At 39.2% G+C, this 24,523-nt stretch overlaps 1 protein-coding gene across 3 annotated transcripts in view; it reads left to right on the top strand.

Moving 5' to 3' along the window:
* The window catches only part of DROSHA (drosha ribonuclease III), a 131,600-nt gene extending 108,425 nt beyond the window's left edge, over nt 1-23,175 (top strand). For all 3 annotated transcript variants that reach the window (NM_013235.5, NM_001100412.2, NM_001382508.1), the window contains 8 exons: nt 725-882; nt 2,292-2,397; nt 12,782-12,923; nt 14,337-14,419; nt 14,510-14,613; nt 16,724-16,816; nt 17,946-17,992; nt 22,107-23,175. In NM_013235.5, coding sequence (NP_037367.3) covers nt 725-882; nt 2,292-2,397; nt 12,782-12,923; nt 14,337-14,419; nt 14,510-14,613; nt 16,724-16,816; nt 17,946-17,992; nt 22,107-22,237 — 864 coding nt within the window. In that variant the 3' untranslated portion in view covers nt 22,238-23,175. The remainder of the gene's footprint in view (nt 1-724; nt 883-2,291; nt 2,398-12,781; nt 12,924-14,336; nt 14,420-14,509; nt 14,614-16,723; nt 16,817-17,945; nt 17,993-22,106) is intronic.

Genomic DNA, 24,523 nt, shown 5'->3' with positions numbered 1-24,523 from the left:
TTAAAAATATTTTATTAATACATGAGTGCCCAAAGTTGTTGCAAATGTTCATTTTAATCACACTTTTCATATTTGCTCTCTACCAGTTGTTAAAGGCTCATTGTTGGAGCACCACCTGTCTAGTGGTATAATAATCTCCAATGTACATTGAACTCTGTTTTAATGATGCTCATTGCCAAAATAAGTTGGTCCCTAGAAAACACAGTAGTAAATTACTTTAATGCAGTAGTTTTTAAAGGGCAGACCCAGACCAGCAGCATCTGCATCACCTGGGAACATGTCAGGAAGACGGATTCCCAGTCTTGATTCCAGACATAGGAAATCAGTAATCTTGGGGGCAGGACCCAGCTGACTGCTGCGTTTAACATGCATGCTGGAGTTTGAGAACCATTGTTTTACTAGATATATATATTTTCTACCAGCTGTTCTTCAGCTCGAATCTCCTTGGAGAGTTAGTATAATACTTGGGATTTTGAACTATCTGTGTACAGTACTTGGCCTTGAAATTTGATAGAAGATTGGAAAATATTATTTGAACCTTCTTTAAATATTAGATTTGTTTGCCATTCAAAGAAATGAGAAACGAGCTTCCATGCTTTATTGGCATTTCAGAAATTTCTGCTCATGGGAGAAGGAATTTTACAAAACACTGTCCTAGAATTGATCATTGCACTTACAACCAAAAATGAAAAAATGATTTTTATTTATTTCTATTTTCCTGTAGCTACAAGAGCCAAATACTGATCGACAACTTATTGAAACTTCTCCAGTTCTACAAAAACTTACTGAGTTTGAAGAAGCAATTGGAGTAATTTTTACTCATGTTCGACTTCTGGCAAGGGCATTCACATTGAGAACTGTGGGATTTAACCATCTGACCCTGTGAGTTAAAAGTTCTCATGTAGTCCCAATGTGACCATTTAGATGAGGCAGTCCCAGACCTTTGGAGCATGCCCTTCGAAGGAATTGGGATTTCAAATATATTTCCAGGAAAGTCACATTGTGAGATGGGTGAGCAGACAGACCTCAGTGTGGACCTGGGGTTATGCTCCAATCCAATGTTGTTGGTTCCATTGTCATGCATCTTGGTTTCTCTGTTAAGTTTTAGGAGAAGTGTGAAGGAAGTATAAACTTTTTCCCAGCAGGACAGATACTAAATATTTTAGGTTTTGTGGGCCATGTGGCCTGTGTGCAGTGATTCGACTCTGCCATAGTAGCATCAAAGCAGCCATCGATGAAATGCAAATGAGTGAACATGGCTGTGTTCCAGTAAAACTTTATTCTTAGAAACAGTCCGTGGGCTGGATTTGGCTCTCTGACCCCTGCTCTAGATGAATGATTTGAAGGTGAGCTAGTGAAACAATTAAGAAAATAAGCAAAATTTTACTTCTTTGGGGTTGTTTTTTGTTCATTTTTTTACTCCCCTCTTCCAAACCAAATATTTCCAACTCTCTTTAACCTGTAAAGATGAAAGATTCTTATCATAGATTTTTTTTTGTTTTAAAATTTGGATTCCAGCTTTGAATAATGGAGTATGTTATTTCTTTTTCTTTTTCTTTCTTTCTTTCTTTTTTTTTTCTGACAGATCTCACTCTGTTGCGAAGGCTGGAATGCAGTGGCATGATTACGGCTCACTGCAGCCCTTGACCTTCAGGGCTCAAGCACTCTTCCTGCCTCAGCCTCCTGAGTAGCTGGGGACTATAGGCGTGTGCTACCATGCCTGGCTAATTTATATACACACACACACACACGGCTAATTTTTATATATATATATTTTTTTTTTTTTTTTTTTTTTTTGTAGAGATGGGGTTTCTTCATGTTGCCAGGCTGGTCTCAAACTCCTGGGCTCAAGTGATCCACCTGCCTCAGCCTCACAAAGCACTGGGATTAGAGGCATGAGCCACTGCAGCCGGCCAGAGTATATATTTCAATAAATTTAGCAAAGAAAAGTCTTGGACCTGTTTGCTTTCTTTCAAGATTGTTGTTTGTATTATGCTTGATTTTTCAATTTATGCTCTTCAGCTTCTGACCAGGCAGTGTTTACCAGTCTTTATTTTGGCAATCGTTTAATCCTTAGATAATATTCACTTTATTCTTCTTTAAAACTCAGCCTATATTAACTCAGATCTCTTCTCAATCGAGGGGCCTTAGGGAATTGTATTTGGTTTTGTGCTTTAAAACAAAATGAACACATTGTCTTTTTAAGTCATTCCTTTTTTAAAATTCTGGGTGTTTTTTTGGAAATCCATAAATGGTTATTGATTTCTTTACTTTGATGTTTCTTTTTCCAGAGGCCACAATCAGAGAATGGAATTCCTAGGTGACTCCATAATGCAACTGGTAGCCACAGAGTACTTATTCATTCATTTCCCAGATCATCATGAAGGACACTTAACTGTGAGTTGGTTAAATCACTTCCTCCAATAAGATTGCTGTAAAGCAGAGTGAAGATTAGAGGGGTCAAATATATATCTATGTAATTAATTTCTTACTCTTAGTGACTTTAGCTTATCATTGGCTTTGTTCATTTCATTGTGCAAATTGTATACAAAGCACATATGCAATGAGAGCTCATTTTATACTCCTTTATTTACTGACTGCCTACTCTGTGCAAAATATTGAGCTAGGCCTCATGGAAGGAACAAAGATAAGTTGACACCAAGTCTGTTTACAAGGAGCTTAAAAATTATTAGAGGAGATTAAAGCTTAAATAAATAACCACAAAATAAACACTGTATATATATCATGAGTTTATACATGTAGATACACACTATAGAAAGCTTAAGTTACTATAACTAAATGCAAGGTAGAACATGTTAAATATTATAAAGAAGCCTAGGTAAATTGCTGTACTTGTGCAGTTTAGGAAAATACGAGGTTTCTTCTATCTGTGGAGTTCAAAGAAGGCTTCATGGGTATAATGATGTTTGAGCCTTTAAAGATAGTTAGGATTTAGCCATTGGGATTTGGTGGGAAGAAATGTCTATGCAAGGGCAGTACACACACTGGGACTGCAGAACGAAAAGGCATGGCATAAAAAAAATGAGAAGACTGAGAGGCAGTAGGGACTTAGTTTGGTTAGACCATGGCAGAGTTGAAAGGGAGTTACAGAGACAGGTTTGATTTATAAACAAAGTGAAATGGTCCCTATGCCTCTTATTTTGGTTTCATTTTATAAAACTTTTGTGAGCTTTTTTATTTGTTGCGTACTGTTTTTACTCTGTGAAACCAATCAATAATATCCTGAAATGGTGAACAAAACATCCAGAAGGAGGTCATGATGATCTCTTAAGGCACAATGAGTAACCTTTGAGAAGTCCCTTGAGGACTGGACATTGAGAAAGCAAATACTTTATTGGGCAAAGAAAAATACTGGTACACTGCAAGATACTTAGTGCAGTCTGTCTTTAGTATGTTGAAGCAAATAACAAGTCTTTCAAACTTTGCATCTCTACAGTTTTTATGTGTGTTCTGCTTTGAATAGAATTGGATTTTATCTTTGTAACCGTGAGTGAGCCCTGGAAATAGTTTATGTGAGACATAAATATTGGAACTAGAGAGAATATGGTGACTTGGCTGTTTAGATGTCATTTTTCAGTGGAATTTCTAAGCCTAGCATTCACTCACTCGATGAGTATCTCTTGAGTTCCATCATAAGTGCTGAGGAATCAGCAGTACTCTTTTTTTATATTAAGTTTGATTACCATTTAAAGTTAACAGTTTTTAGGTGGACAAGAAAGTGTCTTTTTCATGACTTAATATTAAATTCATAAACTATAAACATTTTTGAGAAATGAACTATAGTATCTTACTGTTCATTAGAAAAACAATAAATTGCATGTTCAATATCCTCTGACACTTCATACGTGTCAGAGTATCTGGTTGGCCCGAGAAATGGCCAAACCAACTAAATAGTTTGAAATAGTAATTCATCTTAGGGCCCTATAGAGGCCACTTTTGAAAATGTTTGCTTTAAATACACACATTTCCCCTGGTATTCCTACAAAATTAATTGTGAACGCTAGGATCTTATAGAGATGGGAAGTTTATTGTTTCCCACCTGCTCACCGTGTACATTTTCCCTCCCACCCCACTCCCCCACCCCCAGCATTGAACAGTACGGAAACCAAAACTCAGAAAGGCATGAGTCCTGTCCATGATCTAGAGAAAGGTAAAACTAGGACTAGATGAGAGACTCTAGTTCTGTGTTCTTTCCAAAGTCACTTCAATGCCAGAAGTGTAGTTTTATCCAAAATGTATTTAACAGCCCTGCTGTCTTAATATTAGAAAGTTTTTGACTAGCTTATTACAGTGATGTTGACAAATGATAAAATTATGTGAAGGCTTTTTGAATTATATTCACAGAACGCTTTGGTAGAAATTAGCAGGACCAGCAGATCTGCGGGCAAGACAAAGACAAAGAATAAGCTAAATGCAGATTCTAACAGATACCAACTCCCATTAGCATTAACATGGCTGCTCCCTCCTCCTTCTTGAAACACAAGCTTTGTTGGCTTCTGTCACGGTGCACTTTCCTGGGTTTCCTCTTACCTCTTTAGCTACTCTTTCTCAGCCTACTTTGCAGACACATCTTAGTCTCACAGCTAATAAACAGTCCATGTCTAAAATGCTCACTCTTAGGCCATGTTCTCTTTTTAATAGAGTCTCTCCTACCAGTCTTTTCAATGTGTGTCATCAGTTTCATCTTACCGGCAGATGACTTCTAAACTGATCTCTTCAGTCCTGTCTCCCTTCTGAGTTCCAGCCCTAGCTGCCTTCTCAACATCTCAACATGTGTAAGACTGAATTTGTAGTCTCCTGCCTGGGTCCTCGTCCAGTATTCCCTGAGTAATTGAATGGCAGCACCACCCATTCAGTGTTGCATGTCAGAAACCTAGGAGACATCTTGAATGCCTCTCTCTATCTCCCTTTTCTGTATCCCAGTCCATTCACAAGCCCTGACAGTGTTATTCCTCAAGTATTTCTTGAATTTATCCTCTTCCTTATGAGCTTTTTTCTGTCACCCACATCCTCCCTAGCTGCCTTACTCACCTGGACCACTGCAGTTTAATTTCTGCATAACTATTGATACGTTACAAGGGCCAGGTATGGTGGTTCATGCCTGTAATCCCAGCACTTTGGGAGGCCAACCTGGGAGGATTGCTTGAGCCCAGGAGTTTAAGACCAGCCTGTGCAACATAATGAGACTCCATCTCTACAATAAAATAAAAAACTAGCTTGGTAGAGTGGCATGCATTTGTAGCCCCAGTTACTTGGGAGGCTGAAGTGGGAGGATCGCTTGAGCCCAGGAGCTGTGGTTGCACCACTGCACTCCAGGCTGGGCAACAGAGCAAGACTCTCCTCTCTCTGTCTCTCTCTCTCTCTGTGTCTCTCTCTCTCTGTCTCCCTCTCTCTCTCTCTCTCTGTGACACACACACACACACACACACCACACACACATAGAGTTACAGTGTGATTGATAGAGACCCAGTTGAAAGAAGTGATGTTTATTAAATTGCAAAGGATAGGAATCTGAAGGTTGTGTTCATGCAAAACATAAGGCAATGCAGCATCTTCCCGTGAGAGGAGTGGGCTGCTGGAGTCCCCAGGTGTCTCCTGGATGTATCCTAATATTTGAAAAGCCTGCCTTTGCTGTTCTTACGGGCATTTTTGAACTCTGAGAGATGGACAGCCTCTCAGGCAGAAATCCTTCAAGAGGCCCAGATCTCAGGCCTTTGTGAAGTCATTTTTGCAGCTTCCTACCCTGGTCTTCCTATGTCAACTCATGCCCCTGCCCAATCCATTTTACATGCTGTAGTCAAAGGAGTCTCTTCACAACAAATCTACGCTGGCCTTTCATCTACAGTGACTACACTGTGACGACACCAGCCATTCATCTTCAGTCCCATTTGGTTGTTTCTCTTCCTCTCTCCACCTCTTAACATTGGAGTGGCCCAGTTCTCAGTCGTCAGACCTCCTCTCTGTCAACTTCTGCTCCGTAAGTGATCTCATTCTGTCTCATGGCTTTGAATACATCTTTACACTACTTCCTAATTTGTGTCTTTGGCCTTTTCCCTTTCCTTTTTCTTGTACATTTGTTTAAGTTCTGTGTAGATTCTGACCACTTTTATGGTTATCACCCGGTCTGAGCCACTGCAGTCCAGATTATTAGCTATAACCTCCCAAGTGATTCATACCCCGCGCCCCAGTCAATTTTCAGCACATCTAGAGGGATCATTTTTAAAGAGAAGCCGGATTACATTCCTCTTCTGCACAAAACCTCCCAAACCTTCCCATCTCAAGAGTAAAAGACAATGTTGTTACAGTCACCTTATATGAACTGGCTCCCTGTCTCTGTTTTTCATAAGACTCTTCACATTGGCCTGTATGCCAGTTCCTGCAGGACACTAAGCAAGCCCTTGCCTCAGGGCCTTTGCAGTGCATTTTATCTGGCTGCAGTATTGTTCTCCTGGTAATCTATACGGCCAAATCGCTCACCTCCTTCAGGTCTCTGTTCAGATGTCATCTTATCAATAAGGCCTTCCTTAACCTACCCTGAATAAATAGGCAACCACTTCCCCTTGTCCCTAGCACACCTCCTCAGCCTGGAACCTCTCATGCCTTTCTCCTCCTTAGCATATAGTATGTAATGTACTTGTTTACTATCTGTCTTCTCCAATCAGAGTGTAAACTCCATGAAGGCCAGGGTTTTTGTTTGTTTTCTCCATTCCTGATTCCTTGGTCCCTGGGAAGTACCTGGCATATCAGTGCTCAGCAAGTATGCTTTGACTGAATGATCATCCTATCCCAGCTTAACTCTCTACAGTTGCTCTTCAGATAGTTTCTAAAGAACAGGCAAAGCCCTGGGTGGTCTGGCCTTGCCCGCCTGCCCAGCCTCGTACCACAGGCTCTTGTTCTCACTCTGCACCTCTGCACTGAGCTGCTATTTGCATTTCTCCAGGCCTCCTCCTGCCAGCAGGCCTTTGTGTATGCTCTTCCTCTCCCTGGAAGCTGTTCTGTTCTAGCCCTTACTTTTATGTGCCTGGTATCTTCTACTCTTCCTTTAGATGTCCTTTCTGGTGTGACTTCTGGATGCGGGAAACTTTCCCTGACCACCCTTACCCATCCCGCCCCCGCATCAAAATTCTGTGTTGTTTTCCTTCCTGGCCTTTACCTCAGTTTGCCTACCCCAATGGACTAGAAGTTCTTTGAGAGCATGTTTTTGTTCATCACTGTATGCTCAGCAGTGCCTGGCATATGATAGGCCCTCAGTATATCTTTGCTAAATAAATAGAAGAGTGACAACTGTGCAGTCAGCTAAGTCAAGAGGGAAGAGGCAGTGGCACTGGAGGGAAGTGGACTGTTGCTTTATATATAAGGGAAGAAGCGGAAGGCTTACTTATGAGTGTCTAAGGATTAAAATTAATTTAAAATTTGGAGAGGATTACTTATTGCAGTTGCATTGGTTGGGGGATGGCAAATGATTCATTATTGTGATTAAAGAGCACACAGCTACAGTAATTCACATTGGGAGGCATTAATTAGCTTTGAGCCATTCCCTTGCACACTTAAAGGGAATAAGGACAATTGAGCAAATGTAATATGGCTTTCAAGTTTTGAATGCTGATGGGGAAAAACATTCTGTTCTGTAAGTTGGCTATTCAAAAGGCCTACTCGGGAAGGAGTGTTAGGCTTATCCAATTGTTCTAGGATAACCGAGTTTGCATTGGGCTATAGAGGGAAGTTCTGTTTCATATGCTGAAGTTTTTAGTTTTTAGGTTGGTGTATGCAGTAGGGTCAAGGTATAAATTGTGAGAACACCTCAAATTAAGTGTTTACACAGGCCAGGATGCCTGTAATGTAACCCTTGGAAATCTTAAGCCATAGGAGTTTTCTCCTCTGTATCATTCTTCTTTCTTAGCCTTTACTCTTTGCTAAAAATAGTTGCTAATCTCCGTGCCTGCTGTGTTCAAGGCACTGTACCCAATGGTGGCATGCACTATAGCGGTGATGAACCTACAGTTTTTGTTTGTTTTTAATGATTTGGGATAATGGGAAAGAGAGCAAGGATTACAGATAAAAAGCTCAAGAACCAGTGATCTAATCCTGCCCTGATGCTTCCACACAGCACTGAGCATAAATCATTCAGACAAACAGGTATTTTATCTAAAAGATCTCGTTGAGAAGATAGATTACACAGCCTCCTGTATGAGGATTTCTGTCACTGACATAATTTGGCTCTTTGTATCTGACCTGTATTTGCCTGCTAGCATTTATGTACCTTTTCTTTAGTTATCACAGGAAATGGAGACCATCTGGCGACCACTCTTGTTATAATAGAGCTGTGTGGCATATTATTGTCACTTTCAATAGTATATTCTGCTTTCACCCCGTGTTCTTATATTAAGCCCTCAAAATAATAAATCACAGTCTGCTTAATTTACACTAGGTGTCCCTCTTTGGTAGCTCATCCCCCAGCTGTGGTTTTTCCCTTCAGATTCAAGAGTGAAATTGGGAACTTGAAGGAAGATTGTCAATATGTATGTTTTATTTAAACGAATAAATCTTTTTCTTATGAAAGTTTAAAGTAATGATGAAAGACTGCTATGCTGGCATAATAGAAAACATCCTGGATTCTCAATACCAGAGTTTGAGATCTGGGATATTTACATTGGTCTCTGACATTGCACCAGGAATTCAGCAGTCCTTTCCTCAGGTTTACAGAGAGCTTTAATTATAGTCTTCTTAGTCATTTCTGGTGATTTCAAATTAAACTTTGTCTTTTTGGAAGTATTTTTTTTAAAGTTGTTGATGACAGGTTAGCACCTGGTAAAATGGGGAATTTTGAGGACAGTGAGTGGACAGGACGGGTATCCAAAACATTTTACATTGAAAACAAATTCAGAGGAATTCTTAGAATTTTCTAGAACCTTTTCCCATAACTGAAGAGCAAACATATTTTGTCGAATTATGATGATGCTGTTGTGAATAACACAGCAACAGCTAACATTTCTGTTGTGTTTATCATATGCCAGTCATTGTAGTTAGATTATATGTCATCCACTCTAATTCTCAAAACAATCGTGAGAGCTAGGTACTACATTCTCCATTTTATAGATGAGGAAACTGAGGCTCAGAGATATTTAATAACTTAGACAGGTTCACTTAACTAGGAAGTGCCAGAGCCACAATTTGAACCCAGGTAACTTGGTGCTAAATCTTTTGCTTTTTGCTATCTCTAACACGAGGCATTGTTTGCAAAATAGTCTGATAACTGTCTTCTGCTCAATTGGGTGCTTAATGTTTATTTTCTAGATTTCCACTAAAATATATAAATAGATATTTCCCCTTTGTAAAATAGTAATTTATAACATCACCATCTACAGGCTTTTCAACTTCATGTCTTGATGTCATTTAAATCCTTCCGCCAAAACAATCTTTCTAAAATAAAAAAAAAATTACCTCACAACTGCCCCCATTTGATATCTTTTGGGATTCCCCTTCCCCTACAGGAAAGTGCAGTCTTCTTCACATCACCTGCCAGCCTCACTGCATCAGCTCTCCTCCCTTGGCTCTGATTTCCCCTCCAGGTCCACCCAGTGGTCACCTTGCTGTGTAATGGCCCCTTGCATTTGCCATAGCTGCTCTCTCTTCCTTGGAAACCCTTTCCCACCCTTCTCTCACTGGCTGACTCAGTCTTTTTCACTTCTGATTCTGTGTTCATCAGAATCCACCTACATCAATCTTTTCAAAAGTTAGATCTCTAGAAATGTTGATTCGTTGGTTCTTGAAAGAAGCCTGGGCACCAGCTTTTCAGAAGCACCTTATGATTCTGGTGTTACAGCCAGGTAAATGAGGCCCTGAAATGCTTTTACTCAAATGTCAGCCCTCCTCCAGGAGGCCTCCCTGGAAAGCTGAGGTCTAGAGGAGCACCTGCATGTATCTGCAGTCTCTGTGCTGGCACTGCAGCCACCACAGTGCATTGCAACAGCCGGTCTGCACGTGGCTTCTGAGGAGGGTGTCAGTTCCTGAGGGCAGCAGCAGCACGTTGCTCCTCTCAGGATCTTCAGCTGTCAGCACGGGGCCTGGCATGTAATTGGTCTGCACCCACTGGTGCACTGAACTGCCATAACCTCAGGTTTTCTTTCTTGCTGATACCCCTGGGTCATGTTCTTTGGCAAATAACATGATTCATTATGAAGTAGAGTTCAGCAAAGGACAAGGATGAAAGTTGTCATTTAGAGAACTGCCATTCAGACTTTCTTGTCTAGGTAAAGAGCAAGGTCTTCTCTCTTTTCAACTCATTTTCTAAATTTAAACTGACGATGAGAATATGGATGATGTGTAGCTTCCTTCTCCCCCACTGATTTTTGGTTCAGGCTCTGGGTTTTTGGCAAGAACTTACAGATCTCACTTATTATTGGCCACCCTTCTGCTTTAAGACCTGTCAGGGCTTGTCTGAAATAAAACTGGAAGCACTTCTGATTCCATCCTCACTGCTTTCCTCCTTCACCGTCAGACAGCATTACTGTATAGCACTGAGTGAGGGGCCCTGACACTGGAAGGTGGCAGGTGGGGCCTGGCCGCCAGTGAGGTATCATCATTTGTGTGTGCTCATGTGTGCGTTGGGCTTGTTGTATCTGAGGCATGAACATTCCATATACACGGCTTAAAGAGTTTTCTTCCCATACCGAAAGCATATATTCGGAGAGGACCCAACTTATTCAGCATAGCCTTGTTCCCATAGTAGCCATCCTATTCCCCCACAGCCTCTACTTTAGGAAAGCTCCCCGTCCCCATATGAAATCCAAACCAAAAAAGATATATCACTTTCAGCTCAATTATTCCATAATTACAAGATATTAGGCTAGTGGGCTCTTTATTGGTTGGGTCTTATATTAATGTTATATGCTAGCCTTGTAATTTTGAGCTCCTCTATGGATGTTAATTTTAGTGAAACTCTATATTGAAGAAAAGATGGGACTAAGGGGGAGACAGGAGGAGGAAAGAAAGCAGAGACAGGCAAAGAATCATAGCCTGAAATTCAACAGCAAGCATGGCTTATGAAGATCAAGTTATATTTTTGCTTCATGAATCATTGTCAGACAAATTAAGAACATATTGTTTCTTATTTATCTATTGTCAAGGATTCACTATCAGACACTAAGAATAAATCTTGATTTTCATAAGCTCTGTTGACACCATGGAGCCACAGAGCATAAAACTTGCATCTAATAAAGAAAGTGCAACATGGAACAGCAGGGAGTGGAATACCAGCACAACTCACAGCTGCTTCCTGTTCCTCGTCCCTGTTTTCAGGAATGTTTCTTAGCAGGAAGTTTTTTAATAGACCGAGAATTTGTTATATGTATTCTAAGAAAAGTTGTAGTTGTAGATGCATTACTCTCCCAAATCTTAGAGATCAGGGATGATTATGTTCCATTTTTGTTTGGTGAGTTCCCATCTTTGTATGTACCTCCTTGCTCCCGGCTGTCCTCCTCTCCTCTTCCCTAGTGAGTGGTTAATGAGTGTTAATGCCTAAACCATACTTGTTTTATGGACACTTCTATAATGGATTCGTTGCATAATTTTCATGCAGTGTATAGTGTTACTAGTTGGAAATTCTTGGAGGACTCTTAGCTGTCTGATGAAATTCCTAGTAGAAATTTTTGTTTTGAATTCCTAAAGTTGAAATATGAAAATTATATTTTAATTTGATTAGAGACAAAGGATACCAGTATGGGCTGGGCGCAGTGGCTCACGCCTGTAATCCCAACACTTTGAAAGGTCAAGGTGGGTGGATCACTTGAGCTCTGGAGTTCGAGACCAGCCTAGGCAACATGGTGAAACCCTGTCTCTACAAAAAATACAAAAATTAGCTGGGCATGTTGGCAGGTGCCTATAGTCACAGCTACTCGGGAGGCTGAGGTGGGAGGATAGCTTGAGTCCAGAAGGTGGAGGTTGCAGTGAGCCAAGATGGTGCACCACTGCACTCCAGCCTAGGCAACAGAGCAAGAGCCTGTCTCAAAAAAAAGGATATCAGTATGAAAAACTGAGACTCAAGCTAGATACCATAAATCTTTAAAATAATAATAAAATAAAAATGTAAATAAATAATTTAAATCTTTTCATAGTATTTACTTAAACCTCACTTAAGTCCTATAATATCAAAATTAGCATCAGTGCCGTGAAACTTGAAGCTTATTTTAGACTTAAAAAAAAATCCTTTAAAATTAATGTACAGTGACAAAAAGCAGGCCGTTTGCCTGGTCAGGGGTTGGGAAGGATTCACTGCATGGAGATGCTGGGAATTTGTTTGGAGTGATAAAAATGTACATGTTTTTCAAAACTCATCTAACTGTGCACTGAAAATGGGTGCATTTTATTGAATGTAAGTTACACTTTAATAAAATTGATTTTAACACTCTTAATGCTTCCTTATTTTGTAGCATTAAACTTATTAGAAACTATGACCTTAAATCTTATTATACATCCCCCCTCCCCCACCACAGCCCTGCCCCAATGCTCCTAAAGAAGTAAATGAGCCATTTATGTCAGTAAGGTAAAAATCCAGGATAGTAGAGTGGAGTACGTTATTAAGGAGAAGGTAAATGGGCATGGAGCATATCACTGTCATCTGGGTGATGGTTGAGGCCATAGACCTCACTTATTTTGGTGTCCCTGTCAGTGACAGCCTCTCAGGCTAGTTGGGTCCAACCCAGGAATAAGAGAGGTCAAAAGTGAAATGTGTTCTCAATGTACCGCCATTCCTTTTGGGCAGTTGTTGCGAAGCTCTTTGGTGAATAATAGAACTCAGGCCAAGGTAGCGGAGGAGCTGGGCATGCAGGAGTACGCCATAACCAACGACAAGACCAAGAGGCCTGTGGCGCTTCGCACCAAGACCTTGGCGGACCTTTTGGAATGTGAGTGCCACACACTTTTCTCTCAACCTCCAGGTTCAGAGTTTAAGTCCAAGTAACCGTATTTGTCCTCCTCCTCATTATTATTATGTTCTGGCTAAAGAAACCTTGTTTGCTATTTTAATTTTTTATGCTTTTTACCAAAGCTTTTCTGAAGGAAAATAATTTGAAACTAAGACATGTGAATAATGAATTTTTATGTTCAATCTATGTTCAGTGGTACCCCCAACACATACCCCTCCATCCTAACACTCAGCTACCACATCCCTTTGTGTGAAACAGTAATAGAATATGAAGATCAGTTGTTGTAAATCAGAGCCTTTTTGCCACCCAGCAGCCTTCATATAGGGGCACAGAAGAAAGAAGGGTAATTTATTCACTAAATACTGAAACTATTATTCATTGTTTTGAATGAGTGCAAAGCTCTGCGGACAAATGTCGTCTTTTGCAGTTTCCGATATGGTCTGGCAGCATTGTAAATAATCCTATTATAGTTAACGAAAGGATTATACACATAGTTGTATTGTTTGTATTACTTCAAAATAAGTGGGCCATTCACTGAGCCTTAGAACTTTTTTTTTAATGTTACGGTATTTTTGACAATGGGAATTATATTCAAGTATCAAAGTCTACCATGCAAAACTAGCTTATTTACAAAGTGCAAAGGCATTCTGACTAAGGAACTTAAAAGAACTTCTTTTTCAATGAAAGAAAAGTAATTTAAAGATGAAAATCACATAAAAATTAAACAGAGAGATCATTCTTTTTTTTTTTTTTAGCTCAATGAAAGCTATTTTTATTCCTTCTTTTGAAAATGCACCATTTGTTTGCTTTGTCAAGGTACCTTTAAATGAAGTCATCCTAGGGGGTCACCATTTATTAATGCAAAATTTGACATATTGTTGTCATTAAGATCAGTATTAAGTTTTTCTCTTTTTGGGCAGATTGAATCTATAAATTACCCCATTTCTGTTCATTAAATTTAACATAGAATCCTTAAAAACAGGGGATCTCAGGATTGGTGTTGAAAATGGCAAGACCCAAGAATGTGCGTATTCTGGCATCATATCTAATCTTCAAGTAATATTTTGACTTATTTGATGTGAACAGGGTTGGGTGCTCAGCATTTTTTCCCTGATATACAGCGGCATTCTGTGTACCTTTTAAGCTATTCCTTTAGCCCTTAGCTAAATGCAGTTTGGTGTTTGTACTCTATGATTTGCATCTTACACATCTCTTGCTGCTTCTGATATTAATGATAAAAAGTGGGGGAAGATGAAATGGTAGCACTGAAAAATAAAGAGGGCCTGGAAGTTGAAACTATTACTAAAATTTTGCTTAAAGGTCTAGGTCTCTTACTCTTTCTGATAGATGGCAGTGATTGTGGTTTATTTTAAAGTATTCTTTTTTCCCCAGCATTTATTGCAGCGCTGTACATTGATAAGGATTTGGAATATGTTCATACTTTCATGAATGTCTGCTTCTTTCCACGATTGAAAGTAAGCTCATATAAAGTTTGAATTAGTGGTCTGCTTTATGTTTGGTGATTCCAGAACCCATTACTAAATAGTTTTGGGGGACTTCCACAGGAGTTCATTTTGAATCAGGATTGGAATGACCCCAAATCCCAGCTTCAGCAGTGTTGCTTGACACTTAGGACAGAAGGAAAAGAGCCAGACATTCCTCTGTACAAGTAAGTACTTGTTGCCTGCAGGCCATTGGTTGGATCCAGCATGCCTAAAATTGACTTTCCATGTGCCTTGAAGAATGAGTCATTGTGGGGTGATCATGACAGGAGCCCAGGATTGAGACTTCTTGGCTGTTAGTGTGACTTTGGGCCCCACAGGGAAACTCACTGGGGCTCTCACTCTTAGCTGTAATAAGTGGGTCCCACTCCATTATCTCAATGTTCTCTCCCATTTCTAAAAATCTCTGTGAACTACTGCCTGGGAGGGAGACCAACTAAGATTATGAGATTAAAAAGAAAATTTGGATTCAGTGGTTTTTATATACATTTTTATATTTGTCTTCTTGCTTGTAACTTCTGCTGGGCTGTGCATCCAGATGAGAAGATCATGTATGATTATTTGTAGCGATATTTGGGTACCTCTCTGCACTTTCCCTGAACCCCTATTGGCTTCAACTTGGAACTTTTCTTCTCAGAATGTGTGTCAAAAGCCATCATGTACTTTGAATATCTTTATCCTTTGAGTGGTAGCCAAAAGTCATTAAAAAGGAATGTAGGTGAGTAATGGGTCACTACACCACTTAATACCCGTTTTGATGAAAACAGGAGGTTCAGCTCTGAAGTAGAGTAATTATCTTGAGACACACATAGGTTGATTAAGAAGATGCTTTCAAAGTGGAATTACAAAATGAAAGGATTATTGAAATAGGTGGGTTGCATCTCAAGGTATTGTCTGGGTACATGATTTTAAGGATGTTTAAAGATTGTTTCAAAACTGTTTCACCCCATGTGGATGCATACACGGTTGCAAGCACACACATCTGTGTGTGTGTTCTGTATGGAGTAAAAGCTCCCCTTTGGACTTTCTCAAATTTCAAAATACACAAGGAAAAACATTAGACTGGCAGTTGGGAATTTTCAATCCTTTCGCATGTTTTTATTTAACAGTCACAACACTTTATAGGCCTTTTTGCTAAAGAGAAACTAAGGCCAGAAGAAGAGGTTGAGTCACCCCACAGCAAGCTACTATAAATTACACCAAGAAGTTGTCACTGCTAAACCATATTTCCTTTATTTATTGGGGGAAAAAAGCCCCAAATGTTTAGAAATAGCACTTTATTATGTGCCTAATAAGCATAATGAATATCCAAACTGTATTCTATGAAAGGCTCATAGCATTTCCTCATCAGAGTGATAATTAAGGTTCAATAAATAAAATGAGGATGCTAAACTTTCCATAGCAAAGGCATGATTACTGTAATAGTACTACCTTCAAGAAGCCACTCGTGCACATTCATCCCATGGAGCGTACGAACACAAAGGAAATTGCTATGCTCCCTTCTCATAAATCCCCCAAATGAAAGTACAAGATGAGTTTGCTCATTTTATCAAGATCATGGGGTTGTTTTACATGGTTTTTTTTAAGATTACTATGTTCATTCCATTATCTTTGTTGGCTACTTTTAATTTCCCTTTTCCATGAAGTTATTAGTTTTACTGCATTTGAAATCTGCACCATGTCATTAAAATCCCAAGTACCTGGAGCTTTGTTTTTTTGGCGATTGTGTTGTGTACTTGGCATTATAGCGTACCTTTCAAGTGATCTCAGATGTTTCAGAAATTAAATACATTTTCTGATCTTTTAGATAAGATACAGACATTAGAAAGAATCCATAAAGGATGTGAAAGCATTCAGATGTGGCTTGAAGTGTATTACCCCAATATTTATTGTTTTAGGCTGTGATTAGCACTGAAAACCAATAGACAGGAGCTCTTAACTTTTCATGATAAAAGTTTGTGAATATGCACACTTAGAAATTCTTTGAAAATATTTTACACTTCACTGTTAGCCTTTTGATGTTATTTATATTACTTTGGGAAGAAATATTAAAATACAATGCAGAATTTTTAAAAATTTCTATTTCAAATGCTCTCGATATTTGTCGGATTAGCAAATCAAAAACTTAACTCTTTTTACCTTTCTGCCATTTTCACATTTCCTGTTATTTTACTTAACTCTGTCTAGGCACTAAGTACATGGTTTTCCTCATAGTTACATAGTAACCATGACAAATAACACTTTACCATAATAAATGTTCTTTCCTTTCCCTTTCAGGACTCTGCAGACAGTGGGCCCATCCCATGCCCGAACCTACACTGTGGCTGTTTATTTCAAGGGAGAAAGAATAGGCTGTGGGAAAGGACCAAGGTATGAGAAGAGAATACCTGGAATTGCTTTGAATGAACATCCTGTGTGTCTAATTCCCTAGCTGCTATCTCCAAACTCAGTCATCTGTCTTTTTTAACTCAGAGAATAAAATGTTCAAGAGTAGTAGCAAAGTGAATTCCAGGAATTAATGTCCCCACATTAATTGTCTCAAAGCCGAGCCCTGGACCATGGGAATACCATTGTGTAAGGGGGCTTTAGCTATCTTGAGAAAACCATATTACCTGGCAAGAAGGTCTGCCTAGTTTTAGTTACCCAGAGCACACTTTGATGCAAGCTGTGTGTGTAAGATGTGTCATGTCGCACATGACACGACCATTAGACTTTTATTTATTTTTTTTTTTGGAGACAGAGTCTCACTTTGTCACCTAGTCTGGGGTACAGTGGCATGATCTCCATTCACTGCAACCTCTAATTGTGCCTTGGCTACTCGAGAAGCTAGTATTACAGGCATGTGCCACCATGCCTGCTAATTTTTGTGTTTTTAGTAGAGACAGGGTTTTACCATGTTGGCCAAGCTGGTCTCGAACTTCTGACCTCAAGTGGTCCCAACCCCCCCTCAGCCTCCCAAAGTGCTGGGATTTTAGGTATGAGTTCACTGTGTCCAGCTCTGTTAGACATTCGATTTACTACTACTCACCTGAGCTGTATGGAAACGCTAGCATCTTTAGGTGAAAAGAATTATGTATATTATCACCTTTCTTTGAACTCTCCAGTCTGTATCTTAAACTGAGAAATGATTTGAAACCTGTCTGTATTTTTTTTTATTCTTTTCCTCTTTAAACTTTACAGTGAGGGTATTCAAACTTAAGTATGAAATACTTCAGACCTAACATAAATGGAAGGCATTTTATTGCAGTATTAAAGTGTGGAGTGAATAACTTAAGTAGGCTTTGTGCAAATCAATGACATTTCTGCATGCTCTTGTGTATATTCCTATCTGTGCAATTCAGTGTGTGACACTGTAAGTAATCAGAGGAGATTTTATGCACTGAACGTGAAAATCAGCCTGAAAGATTTGTAGCCATACCTTGCATTTTTTGAAAAAAAAAAAAAAAAAAAAAAAAGAATCTTGAAATTAAAGTATGTCTTACTTTATTTTATTTAATAGTATTCAGCAAGCGGAAATGGGAGCAGCAATGGATGCGCTTGAAAAATGTAAGCCTGTTTTTTTTTCTATAATTATGTTCATAATGTAATGAGTGTTTTATGGAAAGGAAATGAGGAAGGAGAAAAATGGTAAGTATTGATAAAATGTGATCTTGTTTTCTTCAGAATTATTCTTTACACAGAGAATATAGTAGAATGTGAGACATTCTAAAATGGGCTTATATTTAAAAATAAAAGTATTCCTGAGTGCTTTTTGATTTGCAGTTTCCTTTTTTGCTTAGAGTCCTAATCTCAGCGCGGGTGACCTGTGTGAACTGCCTGCTGTGTTTTCTTTCTTTTTTTTTTTTTTGAGATGGAGTTTCGCTGTTGTTGCCCAGGCTGGAGTGCAGTGGCACAATCTTGGCTCACTGCAACCTCTGCCTCCCCGGTCCAGGTGTCAGGTGATTCTCCTGCCTCAGCCTCCCCAGTAGCTGGGATTACAGGTGCCTCCTACCACACCCAGCTAAATTTTTGTATTTTTAGTAGAGATGGGGTTTCACCATATTGGCCCGGCTGGTCTGGAACTCCTAACCTCAGATGATCCACCCACCTGGGCCTCCAAAAGTGCTGGGATTACAGGCATGAGCCACTGCACCCGGCCTGTGTTTTCTTTCATACATTTCTCTATTCTCTAAAATCTTGTAACAGAAAAGTATACGTGTGAAGGTTTTCTGTTTTTTGTTTTGGCCATTGTTTTATTAAATGGGCTGTTATTACATACTTCTCTGTACCTTTTTTTGCTCAATAATGTATCATGAGCAGCCCTGCAGATTATAGAAAACAGCTCCAATTCATTCTTAGTGGCTGCATAATATTTCCTGCTGTAGGTGTGCAATATTTTATTCAGCCTTTTTATTATTGGTGGACATTTTTTTTTAAATCATTATCACCAATAAATGTTATATATTGGTGCTTTTTAGTTCTGTGGAATAGGTTCCCAGGAGTGGGATGCGTGGGTTGAAGAAACTTCAATTACATGATTGACCTTGTAGGAAACTGCATAGTCTTTTGTAAACTGAAGGCTTAAGTGCAAGGGATTTTTCTTCTGAGGTCTGTTGTGCTGCACAGCAGAACCTGTGGGCGCAACATGACAGTGCAATTCTATTATGCTTCAAGTACCCTGCTAAATGAGGTAGGAGACAGCAAAATGCGGGAAGCTAAAAGTGAAGAGGCCCAGAATCCTCAGGCATGGGAGAGATTCCAGGAAAGGCAAGCAGGCCAACAGCCAAGTGGAAATCAGCAAAGTTTCCTGTTCAGGGGCAGGGAGTTTAGTGGGAGCAGACGCTGATGCTGCCAGGGTCCAGCATCCATGGATTCTTCACTGAGAGTTTTAAGCTGGCTATTAGGAACTTCATCCATTGTACATATAAATTTGCAATCAGAGTGAAATAAAAGTGAGATTCCATTTTTTGTTTGTTTTCAACTATAAAACAGTACTGGAGAGATCACCTATTCTGAGACAGGCCTGCATATCCATACTGGTAGGAGTGAGTTGTTTAAACTACTGGAAAGCAATTTGGCAGTATGTAGCAGTTCCTTAAAGAAGTTCATACCCTTGGTAGGCCAAGTTGGAAGACAAAAAATTAAAAAAAAAAAAAAAATTAGCCAGGCTTGGTGGCATGCACTTATAGTGCTAGCTACTTGGAAGGCTGAGGCCAGAGGATCACTTGAGCCCAGGGGTTCGAGGCTGCAGTGAGCTATGGTCATGCCACTGCACTCCAGCCTGTCTCTTCCCCTCCCCGCCAAAAAAAGTTTATACCATGAGAATCATGACAACTTGATTTATAGTAGCAGATAAAAAAAACCTATGTGTTTTAGAGTAGGAAAATGTTTAATAAATTGTGGTATATCCCAGGGGTTAGGAAACATTTGCTGTAAAGGGCCGGATAGTAGGCATTTTAGACTTCCCAGACCATATAATCTCTGTCGCAATTCTCCAACTCTGCCATTGCAGCCCACTGGCCTGGATAGTGTGCAAACTAATGGATGTGTCTATTTAATGGGTGTGTCTGTCTGCCAATAAAAATTTATAAAAACAGATAGATAGCTGTATTTGGCCTGTGGATAGTAGTTTACCAACCCTTGCTATACCCAAATGTTGTATGCATTACAGTAATGGTTTTAAAAACTAATGATATGGGAAAATGCTTATACTAGAATAAGTGAAAAAAAGTATACCCATGAATACATACCTATATTGTACTTTCCCAATGAGTAATGATTTTAAATGTTCAAGTGTCTAGGTGTATGTGTGTGTGTGTATATATATGTATATATGTATGTATATACACATTTACATTGCATATATATGTAGTACAACTTCATAGGAAAAGGGCTATAAGGATATATTTTTAAAGTTTTATCAATAGTTAAATGTGAATTTTGTTTTTCAAATGCAAATTTGATTTTACAGTAGAGTTTATTCCGGAAATAGAGTTCATTTTGTAGAAACTTGCTTTACAGCTTAGTGGGGTTTGTTTATTTTTGAAAAAAGTAGTTATATTTGAAACCTACATAAGGAATCAATTTGATCAGTTCAGGAATAGGATTTTATTACTGTTTTATTTCCAAAATACAGATGTCATGTTCTTTTTTTGTTTAAAATCAATCTCTGGGCCGGGCATGGTGGCTCATGCCTTTAATCCCAGCACTTTGGGAGGCCGAGGCAGGAGGCCAGGAGTTTGAGACCAGCCTGGCCAGCATGGCGAAACCCCATCTCGACTAAAAATACAAAAATTAGCCGGTTGTGGTGGCACACGCCTGTAATCCCAGCTACTTGGGAGGCAGAGGCAGAGAATTGCTTGAACCTGGGAGGTGGAGGCTGCAGTGAGCTGAGGGACTGCGCTCCAGCGAGATTCCATCTCTAAATAAATAAATAAATAATAAATAAATAAAATCAATCTCTGACCCCCAGACATACCAGGTCTTTGCTGATTCCCCACCTGTCTTTCAGATGCTTTTCCTACCACCCTGTCCCTTCTTCAACCTGGTGTAAGGATGGTATACTATATAATTAAGAGGGAAAAAAGAATTTAGGATCTATTATATGGTCATCTCCCCTTATCCATGGGGGTACCTGACCCCAGTGGATGCCTAAAGCTGCAGATAAAACTGAACATTATATAGACTATATTTTTTCCTACACATGCAAAATTTAATTGAAAGAGGAAATTTAATTTACAAATCAGGCACAGAAAAAGATTAACAATAATTAAATAAAATTGAACAATAATATACTATAATGAAAGTTGTGTGAATGTACTCTTGATTGTATGCTGTGCCTTCTCTGTCTTTCAGAATGTTATTGTACATTACTCGCCTATTTTTGGCCCATGGTTGATCATGTGTAAATGAAACCATGGAGAGCGAGATCACTGATGAGGGGCCTGCTGTATATGTAGATCCACTTCACTACGCATTGTCCTTAAAGCAAACAAATGAACTTGCCCCCAAGCATGCCATGCTCGCCCACATCTTGGATTCTTCATGTGTTTGAAACATGAGGTTATGTGTCCGCTTTAACCCAATAAGTTTTCTACTTGAGTTACTTTTGCAAATACAGCTTTGGGCCTGTCATCATAAACCTAAAAATTAATTATCAGACATAATGACTTGGAACGTGGCCCCTTTTTGTCCACCTGATCTTTCTTTGCTCTTTTCTGAATCTTTAATTCTTGGTAAATAATGGTGTGATAATATCATTTGTTTGAAGTTTTTAGTTTGAGCTTTTCAAAAACTGTGACTCCATTTTACTGTATCCTTTCATCTCTCCCAGAAAGTCACCTGTTGCTAGGAGAGTGATGCTAAAGCACCTGCTTGGTAACATTCCCAAGCCACACGTCTGTGTTTTGGCATTTCTGTATGTTCGGTGCCTGCTATACCCAAGTTCACATCAGATACTGAAATTTACAATCAGGGGCACTCATCCAGACTTCCATTATGTTTTTGAGTGATGAAAGAATAAGGGAAGAAAACAGTTTTCTATCTTGTGCCTTATAAAATACAATTATACACATTTCATATGCACGTATATTTGTATGTGTATATGTTTAGTTGCATTATTCTTTGCACTAGATTATTAAATATAATTTTATTAAATATAAAATATATTTCCTTGTGTCAGATAATTTTCCCCAGATGGCCCATCAGAAGCGGTTCATCGAACGGAAGTACAGACAAGAGTTAAAAGAAATGAGGTGGGAAAGAGAGCATCAAGAGAGAGAGCCAGATGAGACTGAAGACATCAAGAAATAAAGGAGGGCATGCAAGTGTGGAGTATTTACTTGCTCAGTAACTGTGACTGTTGTCTATTGAGACCTAGCCTAGTTTTCCTGCAGACAATGAATGAAGTGTGCTCATTGAAATAAAATACAGAGTCAAATCGCTATTGTTGTTTTAATGATCTGTTTTTAGCTGGATGGTCTTTATTACAAAGTATTAGATTTTTCTTCTATTTAACGGAAAACTTGACTTTGGTGAATGTGCATTACTTCCTTTTATTTTGCTCTTTAAATAATAAAATTCAAGAAGCATATTCTATGTGGAATAGATCCTGTTTTTCCATCTGTGTCCCAGATTGTGACCCTAGACTTTCAATTGACAAGTAAAAAATTGACTTTACTAGACATTTTGACTGTGCTCTAGTAACATCTATCCTTTTTCAAATCTCTGGATTTTTAAGTAGATTGTTCAGCTTTCATCCGGTGGCTGTTCATCAAGTTATCAGCTGCAAATATTGAACTTACCTCTCTCTAAGCAGTGAGTGTTTTGTAGAAGGAATCCGTTTAACAATTAATTGGCTAATGGGAGAAGGGGAAAGACTGATATTCAAGTCATACAGATTCTTTGAATCATTAGAATAGGAGAGAAATCATGATTCTAAGCCAGGCCACACTTTAAACCAAGTGCTCTCACCCTGGGGTTAGTGGAACCTTTAAGAAGTTAATGAACAGACTTCAAGGAAGTCAAAAACCTCCCAATACTATATTCAATTTTCTGTGTGTGTTTGAGATTTGAGAGGGCATGGGGAGCAGGAAGGAGGAGGGTTTATAGCTTTTATCAGCCTCTCTAAGTGGGCCCTGCAGTAAAAGGCTAACATGACATTCAAAGACATAACATTTTAAAAAAAGTTATTCCAAACTAAACATCACTGGTTTCTTATTAATAAAGGCAAAACTTCTTTGTAAAACAAATCTGTTTCATTCATCATTTCAGCAAATATATAGTGAGTGCTTCCTATGTATCAGACACTGTTCTAGCCTTTGGGGCTATAGCAGTGAACAGAACAAACAAAACCCCTGGTCCTTGAGGAGCTTGGGTGCTAGTGCAGGTATACCCACAACAGACCAAGAGCCCAATGGCAAGAAATAAAGCAGGAACTTGTGGGTGCAGTTTTCAATGAGGTGTTTGAGGAGTTCTCCCTAAAAGGGTATTATTTAAGATGGGAAAGAGGAGAGGAAGTGAACGCTTCAGGTATCTGGGAGTGTTTCTTATATAAATATTAAATATTACATATGTATTATCAAACATTTGAAAAATGGGCCAGGCACGGTGGCTTATGCCTGTAATCCCAGCCCTTTGGGAGGCTGAGGCAGGCAGATCACTTTAGGTCAGGAGTTCGAGACCAGCCTGGCCAGCATGGTGGAACCCCATCTCTACTAAAAGTACAAAAATTACCCAGGCATGGTGGCGGGCGCCTGTAATCCCAGCTACTCTGGGGGCTGAGGCATGAGAATCGCTTGAACCTGGGAGGCAGAGGTTGCAGTGAGCCAAGATCGCGCCACTGCACTCCAGCCTGGGTGATAGAGCAAGACTCAGTCTCAAAAACATAAAAATTAAAATAAAAATTGAAAAACACATTACTTTTATTAGCAGGAGAAAGAAACAAATGTTGCTTAGAAACTATTATGGAAAAAGTAGAAAGCATAAGCAGAAAGATAAATAAATCACTCATGATTCCATCACCCAGATAATTTTTATGTCCTGTTGGACTGTCTTTGTACTTAAATACACACATGCATTCATGTGTTTTAACAACAGGATACCATACATATGGTTTCCATAGCCTTTCTAACTTTTTAAAATATGAATATCTTTGAGCGACAAATTCACATTTACATAATATAGTTGTTGATGGCTACATAGTAATGCACATCTTATATACCAATGGTAGATATATATATTAACCAATCTCATCAAAGATGTGTAGGTTGTAAGCAATTTATTGTCATAGTGCTGCCACATACCTTTTTGAGGGTGTGTATACACACACAAACACACACACACACACACACACACACACACATGCACATTGGAGAGAGATACTTCTCCAGGATGTCTTCATTTGCTAATCATAAAAATGTAAGGTGGTGCCTTTAAAAAAAAAACTTGTCCTGATGCCCTTCCTCCCCACCAGTGATGCCAGGAGACAAGTGAGGAGGGAGAAGAGAGCTTATTTCTTTTTGTTTTTTTTTTTTTTTGAGACAGAGTCTTGGTTTGTCACCCAGTCTGGAGTGCAGTGGCGTGATCTCAGCTCACTGC

The sequence above is a fragment of the Homo sapiens genome, chromosome 5 (genome assembly GCF_000001405.40).
Source record: "Homo sapiens chromosome 5, GRCh38.p14 Primary Assembly".
Lineage (NCBI taxonomy): Eukaryota > Metazoa > Chordata > Mammalia > Primates > Hominidae > Homo > Homo sapiens.
The sequence above is the reverse complement of the archived record's forward strand: the minus strand, read 5'-3'. Positions and strand labels throughout refer to the sequence as shown.